Source organism: Homo sapiens, chromosome 3 (assembly GCF_000001405.40).
Source record: "Homo sapiens chromosome 3, GRCh38.p14 Primary Assembly".
NCBI lineage: Eukaryota > Metazoa > Chordata > Mammalia > Primates > Hominidae > Homo > Homo sapiens.
In genome coordinates, this window is record NC_000003.12 from 47492758 (window position 1) to 47515200 (window position 22443).

Genomic DNA, 22443 nt, shown 5'->3' on the forward strand with positions numbered 1-22443 from the left:
GATTAAAGAAATGTCCATTTCACACTAGAATCATTTTTATGGACCATATCACACCTTATGATCCTGTTTTTCTACCCCTGTATTAGTCCATTCTCACACAACCACCACTATTAAATTAATTAAAAATAAGTTAAACCCAAAGTTGACAGAGCAAAATCTCTGCATCATTGTCAACTGGCTCCATCATTCTGAAGAACAACCTGATAATGTGCCAGGGCCAGTTTCTGCTGTAATTCAATAATTCCATTAGAGGGTATGGACTAAAATGTCATCACCCCTCACTTCTCACAGGCCCCTGTGCTGGTTTATTTATAGCACTTATTGTGGTCTAAGTTAAATATGTCCTTTGTCGATTCTGTTGATTGCCTGTCTTCTCTTCCAGAACGTAAGTTCTATGAGCTCTGCCAGTGACCTGGTTTGTCAGGTTCTAAACAAACAAGTACTTATCCCCACCCGCAATAGGTAGAGTATATAAAATTTATAACAGCATAATTGATAACTGTAAAAACCAGAATCTACATGCCCAGAGGATAACTAAACAAACTAGAATATAATGATAGCATAAAATGCTGAATAGCTTTTTTTTTTGAGACTGAGTTTTGCTCTTGTTGCCCAGGCTAGAGCACAATGGTGCATTCTCGGCTCACTGCAACCTCCGCCTCCTGGGTTCAAGTGATTCTCCTGCCTCAGCCTCCCAAGTAGCTGGGATTACAGGTGCCCACCACCACGCCCAGCTAATTTTTGTATTTTTAGTAGAGATAGGGTTTCACCATATTGGCCAGGCTGCTCTTGAACTCCTGACCTCAGGTGATCCACCCGCCTTGGCTTCCCAAAGTACTGGGATTACAGGCGTGAGCCACTGTGCCCCGCCCTCAATAGCTATTAAACATAAAATATTTAAGGGGAGGCTGAGACGGGAGGATCTCTTGAGCCCAGGAGTTCAAGACTACCCTGGGCAGCAAAGTGACACCCCGTTTCTACAAAAAAATTAAAAACAGCCAGGCATGGTGGTGGGCACCTGTAGTACCAGCTACTCAGAATGCTGAGGTAGGGGAGGATCACTTGGAATTCACGTGAACTAAGAAGTGCCACACTGCACTCCAGCCTAGGCAACAGAGAGAACCTGTCTCAAAAAAAATAGTGAAAACATCTATAAACTAAGTGAAGAAACATGATAGCAACATTTATGTCATGTAAAAAATGGTGCCTTGCCCATTCAAAATCGTAGCTCAAACGAAGTTTGCATAAATAATGAAGTCTTAGTCAAAGAATCATTAGATTCTTTAATAACTACTTTCTCTTAATTGCACTCATAACTTTCAAATATTCTATCAGGTCTACAGTATTTTGAGAATAAAAGCAGCTTACTGTTTCAGACGGATAACATACACAATGGTATGATTTGAAGAGAAGTGTGATAAATTTTTCCTAAAGACTAAAAATCCAAAAAGTTAAAATTAAACAACAGATATGAGCTGGGCGTGGTGACACGCACCTGTAATCCCAGCTACTTGGGAGACTGAAGTGGGAAGAGCCCTTGAGCCCAGAGAGTCGAGGCTGCAGTGAGCTATAACCACACCACTGCAGTCCAGCCTGAGCAACAGAGAGAGACCATGTCTCAAAACAAAGAAAAGAGGCTGGGCATGGTGACTCATGCCTGTAATCCCAGCACTTTGGGAGGCCAAGGCAGGCAGATCACCTGAGGTCAGGAGTTCAAGACGAGCCTAGCCAATATGGCAAAACCCCATCTCTACTAAAAATACAAAAATTAGCTGGGCACAGTGGCACGTGCCTGTAATCCCAGCTACTTGGGAGGGTGAGGCAGGAGAATAGCTTGAACCCGGGAGGCGGAGGTTGTGGTGAGCCAAGATCATGCCACCACTGCACTCCAGCCTGGGTGACAAAGCAAGACTCCATCTCAAAAAAAAAAAAAAAAAAAAAAAAAAAAAGGCCAGGCATGGTGGCTCACATGCCTGTAATCCTAGCACTTTGGGAGGCCAAGGCAGGCGGATCATGAGGTCAGGAGATCAAGACCATCCTGGCTAGCACGGTGAAACCCCGTCTCTACTAAAAATACAAAAAATTAGCCGGGCATGGTGGCAGGTGCCTGTAGTCCCAGCTACTTAGGAGGCTGAGGCAGGAGAATGGCATGAACCCGGGAGGCGGAGCTTGCAGTGAGCCGAGATCGGGCCACTGCACTCCAGCCTGGGTGACAGAGCAAGACTGTCTCAAAAAAAGAAAAGAAAAGAAAAGAAAATAACAGCTATGTAAGTTCCTTAGTATACAGCAAAATAGTATTATTTTTTCATTTTCTTTAAGATAAAATTCATTGTAATATAATTTATATACCAAAAAAGCAGCCATTTTAAGAGAATACACCTGGTGTCTACTCTGAGGTGACCTCAACTGAGGGGCTGAGTGGGACTAGTTGTCATCTACAGGATGCGGGGCAAGAGCCCACCTCCTGCAGTCTTCACAGGTGAGGGAGGCACCAGCAACTCGCCAAGGCCTGATCCGCCTGGCAGCAAGAACATCCCTTACCCCTCTCACCAAGACCATACACACCTGCGCCTACACAGGGCCTCATGTGGCCAAGGCCCTGGTGCCAGGCCCTTGATGGCTAGGATTTGTTGGCATAAAGGCAAGGCACCACAGAAACTGGAGAAGCCAAAGGTCCCCACCTTTGGGTGGGGAGCTGGCCTCTGGGTTCCATGACTGTCAGTCAGCAAGTGTGGACTGTGGAGTGAGGCACAGTTACTTACAGCCTGCTGTGCAGCCTGTGTGCTTCCAAACCTCTCTAGGTCTGTTTCCTCGCTGAACTCATAGGGAAAGGGAAAGTACCTTTCCAGGATGGAAATTGAACAAGACAACCCACAGGAAGCTCCAGTGTGGAAACTTACTTTATTCCAGCCATGATTATCCTAGTTGTCACCTTGCACACCTGCCATCCGGTGCCATCTCCTGGCTGGCACATCTATACCCACTCTGGCTCTGAAAGGCTTGTCAACCAAAAATGGGCAGCTGGGGCTAAGGCATATTTAAACAAAGGCTCCAAAGGACCCCTTTCACTTGGGTCTAGCATCCAGCCTCTCTCTCAGCAAAGGCAGGATTGTGGTCCCTTGTGTTTTCTGAACAGGGCCCAGGGCAGCCAAGGCATGCCATCACTGCAGCACTCAACCCTCTGGTCACAGTGGAGTCGCCGGTCCAGCCTGAAATATTACTACAGAGGAGAAAGACCCATTCTTGCTATGTTGCTCTATCTTCCACGTCCAAAAACAGTCCTATGTAGCTTCAGCTGCTCCGAAATCAGGTCACAGAACAGCAGGAGACATTCCTTTGGCAAAAAAGGACACGCTTTTGTCCTGTATCTTATACTGGTAAGTGAAGCTCTGATCCCGGTGGACTGCGGGCTGCGATGGTCTCCTCCACAGGATCCTCAGCTACAGAGACAGAGAAGAATGAAAGAGGAGCAGCCACCCCAGGACCTGCTCCACTGGGAACCCCACCCTACCTTCTCTGTGCCCTTCAGCTGAGGCCTCTATGAGATGATAGTCAGATGTGCCATCTGGTAATGGGGCCAACTTGTAAAATAAAGCCTATCACCAGCTAACTACAAATAAAGGGTTCCCCTCCATTACAGTAGTCATATTGGCTCAATACAGAAAATGTGAAAGAGGAAAAAAAAAGGAAACAGAAGGAAAAAGTCTTTCAGAGGAAGACCCTTAAAGTATTTTTATGTTTTTTTTTTTTTTTTTTGAAGCAGAGTCTCACTCTGTTGCCCAGGCTGGAGTGCAGTGGCGCAATCTTGGCTTACTGCAACCTCTGCCTCCTAGGTTCAGGCAATTCTCCTGCTTCAGCCTCCCAAGTAGCTGGATTATGGGTGCGCATCACCATGCCTGGGCAATTTTTGTATTTTTAGTAGAGGCGGGGTTTCACTATGTTGGCCAGGCTGGTCTGGAACTCTGACCTCAGGTGATCCGCCCACCTCGGCCTCCCAAAGTGCTGGGATTACAGGCGTGAGCCACTGTGCCCGGTCCCTTTGTTCTTTCTTCTAAGCATGGTTTTGTACTTGCGGGCTAGACTAATTTTGAAAATCACATTAGAATTTGTACATTCACTACAGAGGCCCAGGAAGGCTAGATACCTGTTTTGATGGTGTTACTGCTGACTACAATGCTCTGGGGGTCTGGCTGAAGAGAGGCCACAGCTGCCCAGCAGCACCTTCTCCTCAGGCCCTGCTGCAGCACTACACACATAGTACTGCTGGGCTTGGTCCTCTGTGTGACCTACCAGACTTGCCTCTGAAGGACTCTGGGCCAAGACTCCTAGCCACTCTTATTGGGTCAGGAGTGCTCAACTTGAAGTTAACCAGGAAGCTGTGGTGGAGGCTTGGGAGTGGTTCCAGAAGAGAAGTTTGAGAAGGCACAGAGCCACATGGCAGCCCATTTAGAGGGGTAGAATCCAGCTTCCCTCCCAGGGCAGGACTCTCAGTTTCTGCCCAAGTACTCCAATTGTTCTGGTGAGTGGCAGCAGTTGGGGCAGCAACCCTGGTCCACGGGTACGGCCTCCCCAAGTCGTTTTTCTTTTTTCTTTTTTTGAGACAGAGTCTCACTCTGTCGCCCAGGCTGGAGTGCAGTGGCGCGATCTTGGCTCACTGCAACCTCCGCCTCCTGGGTTCAAGCGATTCTCCTGCCTCAGCCTCCCGAGTAGCTGGGACTACAGGCCCACACCACCATGCCTGGCTAATTTTTGTATTTCTATTAGAGATGGGATTTCACCATGTTGGCCAGGCTGGTCTCGAATTCCTGACCTCAAGTGACCAGCCCGCCTCAGCCTCCCAAAGTGCTGGGATTACAGGTGTGAGTCTCCACCTGTAAAAGGAACAGGCTGGGCACGGTGGCTCACACCTGTAATCCCAGCACTTTGGGAAGCAAAGGGGGGTGGGGGTGGATCACGAGGTCAGGAATTCAAGACCAGCCTGGCCAACATGGTGAAACCCCGTCTCTACTAAAAATATTTTAAAAATTAGCCGGGCATGGCAGTGGGTGCCTATAATCCCAAGTACTAGGAAGGCTGAGGCAGAGAATTGCTTGAACCCAGGAGGCGGAGGTTGCAGTGAGCCAAGATCGCGCCACTGCACTCTAGCCTAGGTGACAGAGCAAGACTCCGTCTAAAAAAAAAAGGAACAGTGTTGACCTGAATAGACGACGCCTGCTGCAGTACTGCGGAGGAATTTTGCTGTTATTTGATGGCATGCCCCTGCATTCCACTCTAGACAGCTGTCTCCTCTTTAAGAGTGCCCCACTTTGGTCACAAATGGGACCCCCATGGAAAACGTGGGCTGGTCCATGAGGCTAAGCGCAATCTGGAGCAGGTCTATTACCTGAAGTCTCACAATTTCCAGTGTTTCCCTTCCACCTGAAGTCATGTCCCAACCAGACAGTCCCTCAGGCCTGACTCTCCCCTATGTAGTCAAGAATCACAGGTACACGGGCAAGAAGCCTGTTGCCCAGGAGGCCCCTGCATACCTGCCCGTGCACATCCCTGCAGAAGCCAGTGGCCAGGCCCTCAGCCCGCAGTATCAGATGGCTCTGATGACTGAGGCCATTCAGCAGGATGTCATTCTCCTCATCCTCCGCATCTCCACTGTCGTGCACAAGGACCACCATGTTTCCCTGCATCAGATACAAGATGGAAGCCTGCTCCTTACTGGAAAGGACACCCAGAGTCAGGGAGTGCCAGCCTCTCGTTGCCTCCACTCCCCTGTACATCCTCTCACAGATCACCCTCCCTGCTGCTGCTACAGCCAGCCCCTACCTGTGCTCCCAGACCCTAATTCCAGTCACCTACTGGACAACTTCACCCATATTTCACCCATAATGAGCCAACCCATATTTTCAGCTCACTTCATCTAAACCAACAGTCTTCAAAATTAGCTCAATCTCCTGAATTCCTGAATGTTACTAAAAGTGTCACCATCCTGCCAGGCAACCATTCATTCAGTCAACAGTTCCTGAATACTTAAGAGTGTACCAGATCCCACAGTAGGAATAACAAGTGAGAGATATGGGCCCAGGAGACAGACAGATGCTGACAATACAGAATGATAAGACCAAGGGAGAGGGAAGCATGAGGTGTATGGGAGCACAACGAAGAGGCATCCCCTGTAACCCGGAGGAGCAGGTCAGGAGGTGAGCTCATGTGAGCTGAATCTCAGAGGGCAAGTAGGAGTTAGCCAAGCCAAAATGGAGGGGAAGGTCAACCCTGCCAAAAAGTGACAGCTTGAATAATGAGAGCTTTCAAAGGAATACTGTTCAGTTGTTAAAAAGAATAAAGCTGGCCGGGGACAGTGGTGCATGCCTGTAATCCCAACACTTTGGGAGGCCAAGGCGGGAGGATCATTGAGCCAAGGAGTTCAATGCCAGCCCAGGCAACATAGTGAGACCCTGTCTCTATTTTTAAAGAATAGTAATAAAAGGCTGGGCACGGTGGCTTACGCCTGTAATCCCAGCACTTTGGAAGGCCGAGGTGGGTGGATCACCTGAGGTCAGGAGATCAAGACCAGCCTAGCCAACATGGTGAAACCCCGTCTCTACTAAAAAAACACAAAATTTAGCCGGGCATGGTGGCATGTGCCTGTAATCCCAGCTACTCGGGAGGCTGTGGCAGGAGAATTGCTTGAACCCAGGAGGCAGATGTTGCAGTGAGCCGAGATCGTGCCACTGCACTCCAGCCTGGGCAAAAGAGCAAGAGTCCATCTCAAAAAAAAAAAAAAAAAAAGCCAGGCGTGGTGGCAGGCACCTGTAATCCCAGCTACTTGGGAGGCTGAGGCAGGAGAATCACTTGAACCTGGGAGGTGGAGGTTGCAGTGAGCCAAGGTCACTGAGGTCGCACCACTGCACTCTAGCCTGGGCAACAAGAGCAAAACTCCGTCTCAAAAAAAAAAAAAAAAAAAAAGAATAGTAATAAAAAAGAAAAAGAATAAGTGGCTCCTGTAGGGGTGCAAAGCAGCATGGCCAGGCCGGGGTCTGAGTTGGGGTTCTGTCCCTGCTGGGCTGTGGCCCCAGCTGGACTGCTGCCACAGAACTCAGCACCAAATAACTCCAGGAGAAGCTGCAGTGGGACCCGGAGGCGAAGCATATGGAGGTGGAGGACGTGACCCTCAACCGTCGTGCCTGCAGCTTCCGAGTCCTGGTGGTGTCGGCCAAGTTTGAGGGGAAGCTGCTGCTTCAGACACACTGGCGGGTAAATATGTGGCTAGCTGGAGGCTCTCGCACATCCATGCTTTTGAGCAGAAAACCCTCATCCCAGAGCAGTGGGCTTGTGAACGGCAGAAAGGAGGGACTGGCATCTGCACAGCCATTAAATTATAAATCAGGACCAGAAAAAAGGGAAAAGAATGAAGCAGATCCATGTGTTATTTTTGGGCAATGGACAACAAAATATACCGTGTATTAATAAATGAAAAAAAGAAGTAGCGAACAGTGTGGATGGCAGGTTACCAGTAATGTGAAGAAAAATGCAGGGAGACAAATATGTGCATATACTTTGAGAGGCCGAGGCAGTAGAATCACCTGAGCCCAGGAGTTCAAGATCAGCTTGGGCAACATAGTGAGACCAAGTCTCTACAAAAAGTAAAAATATAGAAAAAAAACAAATATGTGCATAATTGTACAGACTGGCTGGAAGGATGCACGTTGGAGGGAGGGAGAGAGGCAAGAGCACTTTTTGCTAAAGTACCCTTTATACTCTTCCTTCTTTTTCTCTTTTTTTAAACAATGCCCAAGTTTTACTTTTTCAACTAAAAGAAGTATTCTTACAAAAAGAGGGTGGTAGCAGGTCACAGACCCAGCTGGGCTGCAGAAGGTGGCTTTGGCTACTTACTGTCACCCCCTAATCCTAACTGTGCCTTCCACACCCCTAACAGTTCCTCCTCCTCCCATTCTTTCTGCATTACCCTGGTTCCTGGCTCTGCAACTGTAGCCAGGACGGCCTCAGAAGTTCCCTGAACAGAGCTTCCAGGCAGGACTTTGCATACAGGTGTTCAACACACACTGCTGGATACCCACACACCTGGCTAACTCAGTTAGCTTATCTCTCCCATTGCTCTGTACGCTCAGTCTGACCGCACCATACCACTGTCCACACGTTCCTGCCAGCTACACCATCACACACTGACAAGTGGCTACTGTGGGCCAGACACAGTGCTGGCATGTTACAAGCTTCATCTCACTTCACTCTTGCAGTCAGGTACCTGTGAGGTAGGCACCACAGCCATTCCTATTTTATTGATTGGCCTATTATTATTGTTAAAAACCCTATTATGGCTATTAAGTGCAGTAGTATTTACATCTAAATGATCACAACCAGTTACAGATTTCTTTGTTCCTTCTCTGTTCCCACTGCTGTATTTGACTAACCAAAAGAAAACAAAAACAAAAACTCTAAAACCTCTATTATGGCAAAAATCTCTATTTGTCCCTCATAACTTGGTAATCAAGGTAATATTGTATATCCTATACTTGTATTGCCCTTTACAATTTTAAAGTAGTTCATACTCATTATTTTAGCTGATCTATAAAATACACTCAGGGATGATAATAACTTGCCCCAGGACACACAGGCTATTCTGACAGACCTGGGACTGCAGCGGTGCCACACATAACCAGCCCCACTGAATGCAATGTTGATCATCCCTTTATTTTGGGGGGCTTTACTTTTCAGCAATGGCAGGTAAGGGAAAACAGGGTGGCTGCAAAAGCTTTCTGGGCCTGCCAGAGTAAAGCCAAAACCCCAAGCAAATAAAAAGATCACAGCAAGCAAGTGAGGTCTGGACCTGTCTGAGTTCTTGGAGGTCACAGGTGGGCGCAGAGAAGGCAGTTCCATGAGTACCTTTAGTTCCCAGCACACGGTGGCTCTGCAGTAGTGAATGAAGTCTAGCACAGCCACCGCCCCCATGCCCAGGCTCAGGAGCACACTGAGGTCGTCCACCAACAGCACCGGGTACGTCCACCGAGCCTCTCCACTGTCTACTGGCTTCAGGGCCTCCCGTACAAACTCAAACAATGGTTTCAAGTTCCCAGCATTAGCCTCCCTGGAGAGACAGGACAAAAGTTACCAGACTTCACTCTCTCTACAGATGTTTATCAAGGACCAAGTAGCACGACAGGAGAGGGCTAAGGGGGACAAAGAACTGTATCACAATTCTTGGCAACAAAGACTTCATGATCTGGTTAGAAAGAAAAGGCATGCACATGTACAGGAGTAATTCAAATATTTCCTGAGGCCTACTAGGTATAAAGCACTGTGTTAGAAACTGGAAGACACAAAAATAAACAGCTCCTAGCGCCCTTAAGAGACACCATACGTAGCTGGGTGCAGTGGCTCAAACCTGTAATCCCAGCACTTTGTGAGGCTGAGGCGGGTGGATCACTTGAGGTGAGGAGTTCGAGACCAGCCTGGCCAACAATGGTGAAACCCCGTCTCTACTAAAAATACAAAAATTAGCCAGGTGTGGTGGCGCACACCTGTAATACCAGCCACTCAGGAGGCTGAGGCAGGAGAATTGCTTGAACCTGGGAGACGGAAGTTGCAGTGAGCCACGACTGAGATCATCCCACTGCACTCCAACCTGGGCAACAAAATGAGACTCTGTCTCAAAAAAAAAAAAAAAAAAAAAAAAGAGACACCATACAGCCTCTCAACCCAAGAGCTTAAGGAATCTGGAAGATCAGCTTGGATTGGGCAGGCGGAAACCTTCCCAGGAGGTTATACACAGCTGGAAAAAGTTAAACAGGCTGGGCACAGTAGCTCACACCTGTAATCCCAGCACTTTGGGGGGCCAGCGGGGGAGGATCATTTGAGCCCAGGAGTTCAAGAACAGCCTAGGCAACAGAGTGGGACTATACCTCTACAAAAAAAAATTTTTTTAAATTAGCCAGGCATGGTGGTACGCCCCTGTAGTCCCAGCTACTTGGGAGGCTGAGAAGAGAGGAGTGCTTGAGCCGAGGAAGTTGAGTTTGCAGTGAGCCATGTTTGCACCACTGCACTCCAGCTTGGAAAACAGAGCAAGACCCTGTCTCAAAAAAAAAAATGAAAAGAAGAAGTTAAACAGCAACTCAGTTGCCCTGATGGTGAGTGGCAGTGGCCTAAGGCTTCTGTATACGTAACAGATTTGACCTGTTTCTGACACAAGCCAGCTTGCCTATCTCCGTCTTCTCCAGTGACTACCCCTGGCCATCATTTCTCAGCAATGAGTGGAGGAACAGAGCCCAGGGCCCAGGGCAACTGGCCTACTGCCTTATGCTCCAGGGATGAGCCCCTGGCATTGGGTTATCTTCACTAACAATGAAGACATCTCCCCATACCTTGGGATGAGGTATAACCAGCCCCTGCCTTCAAATGAGGAAACCCCAAGTCAGAGATGCTAAGGGATGTGTGTGAAGTCACACACAGGGTCAGGAAACATGGCCTCACACCCACTGCATAAGGGTGTGTGTGTCTGAGAGATAAGGCAGTGGGGGAAGTTCCTGTGTGGACCACTTTGTAGTGGACGAAGAACAGCAGCCAAGCGGGGAGTCTTCACAGAGCTATGTTTGTGGCCAATGTTCAGAAAGGAGGAAAAGCAGGAAAACCAGTCTCAGGCCTGTGATGTTGAATACCAAACCAGGGGAAAAATTTTTTCTTAAATGTCTGAAAAGTAAATATTTTAGGCTTGCAGGTCATATGGTCTCTGTCCCAACTACTCAACTCTATTTGTTGCTGTAGTGCAAAAACAGCCAAGGACAACATGCAAACAAATGAACGTGGCTGTATTCCAATAAAATTTTACTTACAAAAAATAAATTTAAAAAAAGGAATTTTGGCCGGGCGCGGTGGCTCACTCTTGTAATCCCAGCACTTTGGGAGGCCGAGGCGGGCGGATCACGAGGTCAGGAGATCGAGACCATGGTGAAACCCCGTCTCTACTAAAAATACAAAAAATTAGCCGGGCATGGTGGCGGGCGCCTGTAGTCCCAGCTACTCAGAGAGGCTGAGGCAGGAGAATGGCGTGAACCTGGGAGGCAGAGCTTGCAGTGAGCCGAGATCACGCTACTGCACTCCAGCCTGGGTGACAGAGCGAGACTCCATCTCAACAACAACAACAACAAAAAAAAGGAATTTTAAAAAAGACAAACAGTTTAAAAAATATGAAACAAAACAAACAAAACAAATGTATTTACAAAAACAGGCAGCTGACCCATAGCCCATAGTTTGCCATTGCAGTCTCCACTGTTGCAGAGCACAGGTGTATACTAGGGCTCTAAGCCAGGGCTGGAAAACACAGCAAAGCATATAGTTCTGCCATCCTTCCAGCAAATGATCCTCTCTATAGCTTTTGGGACAAATGTCCACCCTCAGCCCCATGATAAGAGCCAGCATTTGATGATGCTGCAACACCAGATGAAGTGTCTGACTCCTGAAGCCAGTTCCATCCTCCTGCACAATAAGAAGGAATCACACAGCAACCAGGAACCCTGCCTGGGCCCACCTGCCACGTGTTGCTTCCGGGCTGGGCTGTAGGCTGACTGACCTGAGAAACTGCAGGGGGTGTGGCTCCTTTTGAGCCTGGAAGACGACGTCCACTGCAGACTTGAGTCCCTCAAGGAACACAAGCTGCCCACGCTCCCGCGCCATGGTCAGGCTGACACCCTAAACATGAAAAAGAGAGTGAGTTACTATGCCTTGTAGGGGAACCCATCAGACTAGATGCCAGCTTGCAAGAGGGCATAAGACACCTTCCAAACTTGGCAGAAGTGTATCTGATCACCCAATGTACAGGCCTGTCTTCATTCCCCTGGGTGCTCCCAAACCCATAATGCCCCAACTGTTTTCAGATGTGTATTTCCATTTAATTGTTACATTAAAAGAAAAACTAGCCAGGCATGGTGGCACATGCCTGGAGTCCCAGCTACTTGGGAGGCTGAGGCAGGTGGATCATTTGAGCCCAGAAGTTTGAGACAAGCCTGGGCAACATGGCAAGACCTCGTCTCTACAAAAAAAATTTAAAAAAATTAGCCAAGTGTGGTAGTTTGCACCTGTAGTCTCAGCAACTCAGGAGGCTGAGGTAGGAGGATCACGTGCGCCCAGGAGGTCAAGGCTGCAGTGAGCCATGATCATGCTGCTGCACTCCAGCCTGAGCAACAGAGCGAAACCCTGTCTCAAAAAGACAAAAAAACAAAAACCTAGGCCAGGCTTGGTGGCTCACGCCTATAATCCCAGCACTTTGGGAGGCCAAAGTGGGCAGATCACCTGAGGTCAGGAGTTCAAGACTAGCCTGGCCAACCTGGTGAAACCCCATCTCTACTAAAAATACAAAAATTAGCCAGGCGTGGTGGCGGGCGCCTGCAATCCCAGCTACTCAGGAGACTGAGGCAGGAGAATTGCTTGAACTGGGAGGTGGAGGTTGCATTGAGCCGAGATCTCACCAGTGCCCTCCAGCCTGGGTGACAAGAGTGAAACTGTCTCAAAAACAAACAAACAAACAAACAAACAACAAAAAAACCCCCACAAAAAATGGGATGCAGAAATTTAGTATGCCTATCCCTGCTCAGACTAGGACTTTTTTTTTTCTTTTCATTTTTTACTTGTCACTGACTTGAAGCTCAATAACTTTTTTTGTTTTTGAGACAGTCTCTCACTCTATTGCCTAGGCTGGAGTGCAGTGACGCAATCTCAGCTCACTGCAACCTCTGCCTCCTAGGTTCAAGCGATTCTTGTGCCTCAACCTCTTGAGTAGCTGGGATTACAGGTATGCACCACCAGGCTAATATTTATTTATTTATTTATTTAGAGATGGAGTTTCGCTCTTGTCGCCCAGACTGGAGTGCAATGGTGCGATCTTGGCTCACTGCAACCTCCGCCTCCTGGGTTCAAGCGATTCTCCTGCCTCAGCCTCCTGAGTAGCTGGGATTACAAGCATGTGCCACCACGCCCAGCTAATTTTTGTATTTTTAGTAGAGATGGGGTTTCTCCATGTTGGTCAGCCTGGTCTTGAACTCCTGACCTCAGGTGATCCACCCGCCTTGGCCTCCCAAAGTGCTGGGATTACAGGCGTGAGCCACCGTGCCCGGCCTAATTTTTTTATTTTTAGTAGAAACAGGGTTTCACCATACTGACCAGGCTGGTCTCGAACTCCTGGCCTCAAGTGATCCACCTGCCGATATCAGGAAACCTGCCCCGATAGTCACGTAGGTTCTTTTCTATTTTCCCTAAGCGTTGGCCGGCTTGAGAAATAAAGGGACAGAGTACAAAAGAGAGAAATTTTAAAGCTGGGCATCCGGGGGAGACATCACATGTTGGTAGGTTCCGTGATGCCCCACAAGCCGCAAAACCAGCAAGTTTTTATTAGGGACTTTCAAAAGGGGACGGAGTGTGCGAATAGGTGTGGGTCACAGAGATCACGTATTTCACAAGGTAATAGAATATCACAAGGCAAATGGAGGCAGGGCGAGATCACAGGACTGCAGGACCGGGGCGAAATTAAAATTGCTAATGAAGTTTTGGGCACCATTGTCATTGATAACATCTTATCAGGAGACAGGGTTTTGAGAGCAACTGGTCTGACCAAAATTTATTAGGCGGGAATTTCCTCTTCCTAATAAGCCTGGGAGCGCTATGGGAGACTGGGGTCTATTTCATCCCTACAGCCTCGACCATAGAAGACGGCCATGCCCAGGGGGGCCAGTTCAGAGACCCACCCCCAAGCGCGTATTCTCTTTCCCAGGGATGTTCCTTGCTGAGAAAAAGAATTCAGCGATATTTCTCCCATTTGCTTTTGAAAGAAGAGAAATATGGCTCTGTTCCGCCCGGCTCACCAGCGGTCAGAGTTTAAGGTTATCTCTCTTGTTTCCTAAACATTGCTGTTATCCTGTTCTTTTTTCAAGGTGCCCAGATTTCATATTGTTCAAACACACATGCTCTACAATTTGTGCAGTTAATGCAATTATCACAGGGTCCTGAGGTGACATACATCCTCCTCGGCTTGCGAGATGACAGGATTAAGAGATTAAGTAAAGACAGGCACAGGAAATTATAAAAGTATTAATTTGGGGAACTAATAAACGTCCATGAAATCTTCACAATCCACGTTCTTCTGCCATGGCTTCAGCCGGTCCCTCCGTTTGGAGTCCCTGACTTCCTGCAACATGCCTCGGCCTCCAAAAGTGCTGGGATTACAGGTGTGAGCCACTGCACCTGGCCTCAAGGACTTCTTAAATATGGTTCATGAACCACCATCCAATTAAGAAACCCTTTAAGATACCTGATTAAAATGTAGATTCCTGGCTGGGCATGGTGGTTCACGCCTATAATCCCAGCACTTTGGGAGGCTGAGGCAGGTGGATCACCTGAGGTCAGGAGTTTGAGACCAGCCTGGACAACATGGTAAAACCCTGTCTCTATGAAAATACAAAATTAGCCGGGTATGGTGGCACATGCCTGTAATCTCAGCTACCTGGGAAACTGAGGCAGGAGAATCACTTGAACCTGGGAAGCGGAGGTTATGGTGAGCTGAGATCACACCATTGCACTCCAGCCTGGGCAACAAGAGTGAAACTCTGTCTCAAAAAAAAAAAAAAAAAACAAAAGCAGACCCCTGGGTCTAATTCCAGAATGAGGGCAGAACTCAGGATCTACATCTCAACAAACACCAGGAATGGTGATACATTCTAAATGTGCAACCCACTGCTCCACCTGTGCAGAAATAGGTCACATGGGGCTCGGCATGGTGCCTCACACCTGTAATCCCAGCACTTTGGGAGGCTGAGGCAGGAGGATCCCTTGAGCTTAGGAGTTTAAGACCAGCCTGGGCAACATAGGGAGACCCATTCTCCAAAAAAAAAAAAAAAAAAGAGAAAGAGGCAACATGTAACTCTTTAGACTTTCCATGCCCCTACATCAGGTCTCAATTGCTCATTCACACACAAAATGCCCAGGGTCTTCCAACGTCCAACACCATTTGTTCCAATAGCTGCAGCTGACAGGGAAAAAGACTCCTGATCATCACCCTTGCTCTTGCTCACTACCACTCTATTTATGTAAGTGCAACAATATGCCACGAGTATAGAAGCTCACGCTCCAGTACTTCACGTGCCAAGTACTGTGCATGCCATTCCTGCTGTGCTGATCATCATTCAAAGGTAAAAGAAAAAGTAGCCAGTTTAGATATGCGAACACACAGCTATCTCATCCTGAAACAGATCCAGTGGCCATAAAGCCATGCTGCAGAGCCCTGGAATGCAACATTATTTTCTTTACATCCTGACTGTTCTCCCTGGGCTCCTGCCCCGATGTCTAACACAGGAAGTTCTCCCTTCTCTGCAAAGGATGGGAAAGAAAGAATCTACCATTCTCTCACCTCCTCATTTGCTTCTGCCCAACAGAGAAGAGGCAGTGACTTGGTCCAATAGTAAGACTGGATTTTATTTTATTTTTTATTTTTATGTATGTATGTATGTATTTATTGAGATGGAGTCTTGCTCTTTCGCCAAGGCTGGAGTGCAGTGGCACGATCTTGGCTCACTGCACTTTCTGCCTCCCAGGTTCAAGTGCTTCTCATGCCTCAGCCTCCCAAGTAGCTGGGATTATAGGCGTGAGCCACCATGCCTGGATCCTCTGAGAAATAAATGAGTAGAATGCACGCCCCATGAGTGAGATGATCCCAAAGTGTTAGGATTAAAGGTATAAGCCACCACCCCTGGCAGCCAAGAATTTTTATAATGACTAGGCCTTGGGTTTTATCAAATGCTTTTTTTGCATTAAGTGACATGATCATATGAATTTGTTTCTTTAGCCTATTGACATGGTGGATTACAATAGCTGATTTTCAAATGTTGAACCGGCTTTGCAAAACTCTAATAAACCCAAGTGTGGTGTATAGTTCTTCTTATACATTTCTGGACTTGATTTGCTTATATCTTGCGGGGGCAGGGGTGGGGGAGTTGCATCTCTGGGAGATTTTTTTTTTCCTTTTTTTTTTTTTTTTTGAGATGGAGTCTTGCTCTGTCTCCCAGGCTGGAGTGCAGTGGCGTGATCTCAGCTCACTGCAAGCTCCGCCTCCTGGGTTCACTCAATTCTCCTGCCTCAGTCTCCCAAGTACCTGGGACTACAGGCGCCTGCCACCATGCCCAGCTAATTTTTCGTATGTTTAGTAGAGACAGGGTTTCACCGTGTTAGCCAGGATGGTCTCCATCTCCTGACCTCGTGATCTGCCCACCTCAGCCTCTCAAAGTGCTGGGATTACAGGTGTGAGCCACCGTGCCCAGCCTTTTTTTTCCTTTTTTTATTGAAACGCTGTGTCACTCTATAGGAGCATGCCAACCACCTGGCTAATTTTTGTATTTTTAGTAGAGATGGGGTTTTGCTATGCTGGCCAGGCTGGTCTCCAACTCCTGACCTCAGGTGATCTGCCCACCTCGGCCTCCCAAAGTGCTGGGATTACAGGCATGAGCCACCACGCCTGGCCCAAGACTGGCATTTTAAAGATCACTGCTGAAGAGTAGCCCAGTTCTCTCCCTCTCTAAGCCTGGCCTGTCCAAATACAAACCAAAAAACAGCCCTTCAGCTTCCATTCACAGGCAGTGAAGTCCACCTAGTAACAGGTAATGTCCCAGGCTAGGTCAAGAAGTTCATCGGCCTTTTGGCCATCTTATTCTTGCCTGCCTGTGTCTGATGTGGTGAGGGGCAGGAAACGAAAGTCCCTCTCCCCACACTGGGGTCTGAAGCCCTAGACTTAGGGAAAGACAGTGGGAGGCATCCAACTTAGCAGCAGACCAAAGTGTGATCTCCAACCAAGGAGGACGAAAATCAAAACTCATACGGAGAAGGAGAAAACCTTAACTGGTCCAGAATGAGTAGAGAAAGGTTTGATTAATTAACATCTACAAACAGCAGGTCTGGTTCTACGAAGTCTCGAATAAGACATGCTGAGATGCTACCTTAGCCCTTCGAGTAAGGGGTTCAGGATCCCAAGATTTCTTTTTTTTTTTTTTTGAGACAGAGTCTTGTTCTGTCGCCAAGCTGGAGTGCGATCTCAGCTCACTGCAACCTCTGGCTCCCGGGTTCAAGCGATTTTCCTGCCTCAGCCTCCTAAATAGCTGGGACTATGGGTATGCACCACCACGCCCAGCTAATTTTTGTATTTTTAGTAGAGATGGGGTTTCACCATGTTGGCCAGAATGGTCTCCAGCTCTTGACCTCGTGATCTGCCCATCTTGGCCTCCCAAAGTGCTGGGATTACAGGCGTGAGCCACCACGCCCGGCCCAATATTTCTTTAGTCCCTCTTTTGCTAAGTTCTGTACAATGCAAACAGGAAAGCCAAGCTTTAGACCATGTGTGACACACACACTCACTCAGGGACCTCATCATGGAGCTCCAAAATATTTACCAGCTTCTGTCCCACGATACTGTAGTGGCTGAAGGACTGGATGAGTGCCACAAAGCAGACTTTACAATTAGCTAGAAAACAAAACAATTATTTTAAATAAATCCTCTGGTTACAACCAGACTCACTGATTTCATACCTCTGGAAAAAAAAGCACTGAGGCAAATCTAGAGACCCAGAGGCTTTGCAACCTGACATACGCAATTTGATTCTAAGATGTACTTTTTTTCTTATTTAACAGTTATATCTTATTTTACTGGTTCTAAGATATACTTCTGTTAGATGTAGTACTAGGTACTTATTATTATCATTTGAGATGGTCTCGCTCTGTTGTCCAGGCTAGAGTGGCACAATCATGGCTCACTGCAGCCTAAACCTCTCTGGCCTCAAGTGATCTGACCACCTCAGCCTCCCGAGTAGCTGGAACTATAGGCATGCCCAGCTAATTTTTGCATTTTTTGTAGAAACAGGGTCTCCCTATATTGCCCAGGCTGGTCTCGAATCCCTGGCCGCAGCTCATCCTCCCACCTGGGCCTCCCGAATGCTGGGATTATAGATAATGAGCCATTACGCCCAGCCATGCAGCAGCCATGTTCTTTAGGAAGCATCTACTGCCAGGACAAAGTGTCAATGGGGTCGAGTGCCCAGAGACCTCGAGATACACAAAGACCAAGGAGCAACAAAATCAGGAGGCCACATAGGACCTCAGTGAGGCAATGTCCACACAGTGGGTGGAGAAGGGGAAGGTAGGACACAGAAACAGTGAGCACATGCCACTCTTTGGCAGGGCTGGGGAAGGAACGAGATGGCCTAGTAACCTGTTATCCTAATAAAATAGCCCCCCTAGGTATCCCAACACCAAGGCTTGGCTTGTAAATGCTGTTATTGCTTCCTTAAATAGTTTTGGTTTTTATTATTTCTGCACCCATCTTGGGTTTCTTTTCTACAGCATCAATGAGTCCCATACCTTTGAGATAGAAGGAGAGAAAGTGGTGTACAAGGAAACTCCCATCTGTCTTGGCATCACAGAGTAGAGTCAGTTTCCCCTAAAAGTTACAAGGAACACAAAAAGGTTAGACTCCCTGGAAAGAGGTCAGCTTAGTGCAGAAATCTAGTCAATTGTGTCCACACCTTAATTTCTCCACCTGAAGAGTTTATTTTTTTAATGACATACATGCTAAGGTACCCTGAAATGATGAAAATAAGTCAAAATTATGGAAAATCCATGACTAAAGTTATCACTTATTGTTACTCATGATAGGCAAGCATATCTCAGCCTCCACCTCCTCAAAGCAAACAGAGAATAAACTTATTTCTCTTCCTCACTTCTCATGTTAGTCACTCAGGAACCAGTCTTAGGAAGAATTGGATCCTGAACAAAGGATGCTTTTACCATCAGACTCCAGTGAAAATCAGATTGCTAGGACTGGAAGAGGCCTTCAAAAGGCCTCCCTGCCAACTACTTTATATTCTGATGCCAATTCTATTCTGTAGGGTGAGGGAGAAGGGAGGAAGAAGCAGTTGCTGATACAGATGTCTGATAACAAAGTTCACCCAATGGCCCTGCTTCAGAGGCCTGATCATGGAGAGCTCTAGAAAGACCTCTAAGGGTGGTCTCTGCAGAGCCTGACTGTCCTGCTCCATTCACCTCTATTTCTGTCAGTGACAGGGAAGGTCAGGATCAAGTGATATCATGCATGCCACCTCCTTGCCGTGTGACCTTCCACAAATGCCTTAACTTCTCTGGGCTTCAGGTTTTTTCACTTACAAAATGTGAAAGATCACATCGTCAGACCTTCAGTGTTACCCCTAGTGCTGTCATTTCCTGGTGCCCACTTGATTACTCCATTCTTTCACCTGGCCCTAGGCTGACTTTGGAAGTGCCAGTGGTAACTGGCAAGGTAATCAGAGTCATCTGGACAAGAACTGCCTGGCAACTAAAATCCACAAGGATCTACTGAAAGCTACAATTTGGCGCTATGGGGTCATAAAAAGGCTTTAGACACTTAGTATCCTGGTTGCCTGGAGGAGTTTACCATTTCATTAGGAAGACAAAGATTATGAATAAACCAGGCTGGGCGTGGTGGCTCACGCCTGTAATCCCAGCACTTTGGGAGGCAGAGGCGGGCGGATCACCTGAGGTCAGGAGTTCCAGACCAGCCTGGCCAACATGGTGAAACCCCGTCTCTAACAAAAAATACAAAAAAAAATCAGCCAAGTAATTAGCCCGGTGTGGTAGCGCACGCCTGCAATCCCAGCTACTTGGGAGGCTGAATAAGGAGAATCACTTGAACCCGGGAGGTGAGGTTGCAGGGAGCCGAGATCGCGCCAGTGCACTCCAGCCCAGGCGAGGGAGCGAGACTCCATCAAAAATAAATAAATAAATAAATAAGCCAAAAGATACACTCCTGAAAGAGGTTACTCCTACGTTAAAATGTGAAAGGTTTCAAGGTACCCCGGAGTGTGAGGAGGGTGGAGAGAACAGGCCAGCCTGGGGTGCCCAAGACGGACTTGGTCCAAGCCAATTTGGCTCTGTCCTGCTTCTAACAGTTCTATTAGAGATCACAAGGAGGAAGAGTAAGAAGAACAGCAGCGTTCAATACAATGTGCCAATTGCTCCGGGGCGAGGTGGCGGTTAGGAAGCTCGCCCATGAAGACGGCGGCGAAACGAACTCCCCTCTCCTCTCGGGCCTATTCTGCAGTCTCCTCTGAGCGCCTGGGACCCCCCACCCCAGTGAACATGCACAGCGCGCCACAGTTCACGTCCGCGAATATAACCCAACCCCACTGTCGGCCATGCTTCCCAGGTACTTTTTTTTTTTTTTTTTGAGGTGGAGTCCCGCTCTGTCGCCCAGGCTGGAGTGCGGTGGCGAGATCTCGGGTCACTGCAACCTCCGCCTCCCGGGTTCAAGCAATTCTCCTGTCTCAGCCTCCCGAGTAGCTGAGATTACAGGCATGAGCCACCACGCCCGGCTAATTTTTGTATTTTTCGTAGAGACGGGGGTTTCACCATCTTGGCCAGACTTGTCTCGAACTCTTGACCTTAGATGATGCACCCGCCTCGGCCTCCCAAACTGCTGGGATTACAGGGGTGAGCCACCGCGCCCGGCCGCTTCCCAGGGACTTTTAAGGACACGCACAGCCGTTGAGAATATGCGAGATGGCCCAGAAGCCCACTTTCGGCGGGCCCAAGCCTCCAGTCCAATCCCCGGGTCGATCCTCTGCGGACTACAACTCCCAGGTACCCCGTGCCGGGTCGTCGCGCCATTCCCCGGGGTCGTGCGCACCGCCTCCCGGATGCAGTATTCCGCTGCCCTGCCAGGTCCCGCCCCCTTCCGGCCAGCGGGACCTCTTACCTGCTCCGCCCTGTCGGGGGTGGTGTTAAGCAGGTTATTAAGTTCCACGAACATTCCGAGCTCCTGGGACTAGCGCTCTGGAGGAGAACCCGGAGTGCTGCAGAGACGACGGAGGCTGGAGAGCAAAACACACCCGACAGCCCGGCTCGCGCAAGGAAGCGCGCATGCGCAATGCCACTTTTGCGAGCCAGCCACAGCCAATGAGGCGGGTGCCTCGATGGGACCGCTGCGCACGCGCGTAGACGTCCGTCGAGTCCCAGGTGGTAGGAAACGATGGGCTTCTCTGTGCGACTGCCAGCGGCCTCTGGCGGCTCATTCCGCGCAGATCTGCGTGGCGCCCGAGCCCTCCCAGTGGGCCCCCAAGGCTCCACGCGACCGAGTATTCTTCTTCCCTTGGCCTCGCTCTCTGCCCAGCCCCGGGCTCCTTTTCTCCACACGTGGCTGTCAAGCGCCTTCTGTATGCCCCACACTCCTGGGAGCTTGGGCTACATCGATGAACAAAAACAAAGGACAGGGAATTTATTATTATTATTATTATTATTATTATTATTATTATTATTTAATTGAGACGGAGTCTTGCCCTGTCGCCCAGGCTGGAGTGCAGTGGCGCGATCTCGGCTCACTACAGTCTCCGCCTCCTGGGTTCACGCCATTCTCCTGCCTCAGCCTCCCGAGTGTAGCTGGGACTACAGGCGCCCGCCACCACGCCCGGCTAATTTTTTGTATTTTTAGTAGAGACGGGGTTTCACCGTGTTAGCCAGGATGGTCTTGATCTCCCGACCTCGTGATCCGCCGGCCTCGGCCTCCCAAAGTGCTGGGATTACAGGCATGAGCCACCACGCCCGGCCGACACGGAATTATATCTTGAAAAGTTGTGTGGAGAAAAGCAAAGTGGGATTAGAGAGTACCAATGGGGGCAGGGGTAGGTTCCAGAATTAAAGAGGTTGTCAGGGTGGGTCTCACTAAGAAAGTGTGGTTGCGGCTGGGCGCGGTGGCTCACACCTGTAATGCCAGCACTTTGGGAGGCCTAGACGGAGGGATCACGAGGTCAGGAGTTCGAGACTAGCCTGGCCAATATAGTGAAACCCCCTTCTCTATTAAAAATACAAAAAATTAGCCTGGCGTGGTGGGGGGCGCCTGTCATCCCAGCCACTCGGGAGGCTGAGCCAGTAGAATCGCTTGAACCTGGGAGGCAGAGGTTGCAGTAAGCCGAGATCACGCCATTGCTCTCTAGCCTGGGCAGCAGTGTGAGACTTCGTTAAAAAACAGTGTGGTTGCAACACGCCCTGTATGCCTGTCCTCAGAGCCTTTATACTAACTCTTCCCTCTTCCTGGAATGCCCCTTTTCCCAGATATTAAGCTGATTTTAAAATTCCCCACTTCCTTCAGGTCTCTGCTCCGATGTCACTTTATTCGTGAGGCCTTCCCTGAGCACCTTACTTAAATCACAAACTGTCCCTTTCCCAACACTTCTTTTTCCTTGCTTTTATTTTTTTCCATAACATTTATATCTATTATACCGTATATAGTTTTGTTCTAGCCCAATCAGCCTCAGATCAGTGGACAAACCTGTAATTCCACCAAAGTCAAGTTTATTGACAGTCACTAAAATAATTGTTATATGATTTGGGAAAGAGTCGAATTCAGGTGAAATTTAAGTGAAC

The 22443-nt window shown here is 48.4% G+C and overlaps 1 protein-coding gene and 1 pseudogene across 31 annotated transcripts, besides 3 other annotated features; one reads left to right on the top strand and one right to left on the bottom strand.

Moving 5' to 3' along the window:
- Window positions 1-2882: 2882 nt before the first annotated feature.
- Window positions 2883-20955, bottom strand: ELP6 (elongator acetyltransferase complex subunit 6). Of its 31 annotated transcripts, none has more exons than NM_001424222.1 (8): window positions 20780-20955; window positions 18391-18469; window positions 17427-17497; window positions 13159-13265; window positions 11573-11691; window positions 8893-9094; window positions 5529-5675; window positions 2883-3440 (listed from the first exon to the last, which is right to left on the bottom strand). In NM_001424222.1, the coding sequence occupies exons 5-8, from the start codon at window positions 11674-11676 to the stop codon at window positions 3312-3314; spliced, it is 582 nt and encodes a 193-aa protein (NP_001411151.1). In that variant the 5' UTR covers window positions 11677-11691; window positions 13159-13265; window positions 17427-17497; window positions 18391-18469; window positions 20780-20955; the 3' UTR covers window positions 2883-3311. The 31 variants fall into 31 exon arrangements, 30 of the variants coding, with proteins under 30 accessions (NP_001411151.1, NP_001411155.1, NP_001411140.1 ...); NM_001424226.1 differs by lacking the exon at window positions 20780-20955 and adding an exon at window positions 20564-20655; NM_001424211.1 differs by lacking the exons at window positions 13159-13265; window positions 20780-20955 and adding exons at window positions 18555-18610; window positions 20564-20655.
- Window positions 7084-7650, top strand: BOLA2P2 (bolA family member 2 pseudogene 2; annotated as a pseudogene).
- Window positions 11770-12663: an enhancer, noted in NCBI's record as "H3K27ac hESC enhancer chr3:47546017-47546910 (GRCh37/hg19 assembly coordinates)". NCBI's record gives its function as "activates a minimal SCP1, AML or CMV promoter by ChIP-STARR-seq in primed H9 embryonic stem cells {active_cell/tissue: H9 hESC(primed)}" and the evidence as "EXISTENCE:reporter gene assay evidence [ECO:0000049][PMID:30033119]".
- Window positions 20370-20479: an enhancer, noted in NCBI's record as "active region_19816". NCBI's record gives its function as "activates an Ori minimal core promoter by ATAC-STARR-seq in GM12878 lymphoblastoid cells {active_cell/tissue: GM12878}" and the evidence as "EXISTENCE:reporter gene assay evidence [ECO:0000049][PMID:35858748]".
- Window positions 20810-20919: an enhancer, noted in NCBI's record as "active region_19817". NCBI's record gives its function as "activates an Ori minimal core promoter by ATAC-STARR-seq in GM12878 lymphoblastoid cells {active_cell/tissue: GM12878}" and the evidence as "EXISTENCE:reporter gene assay evidence [ECO:0000049][PMID:35858748]".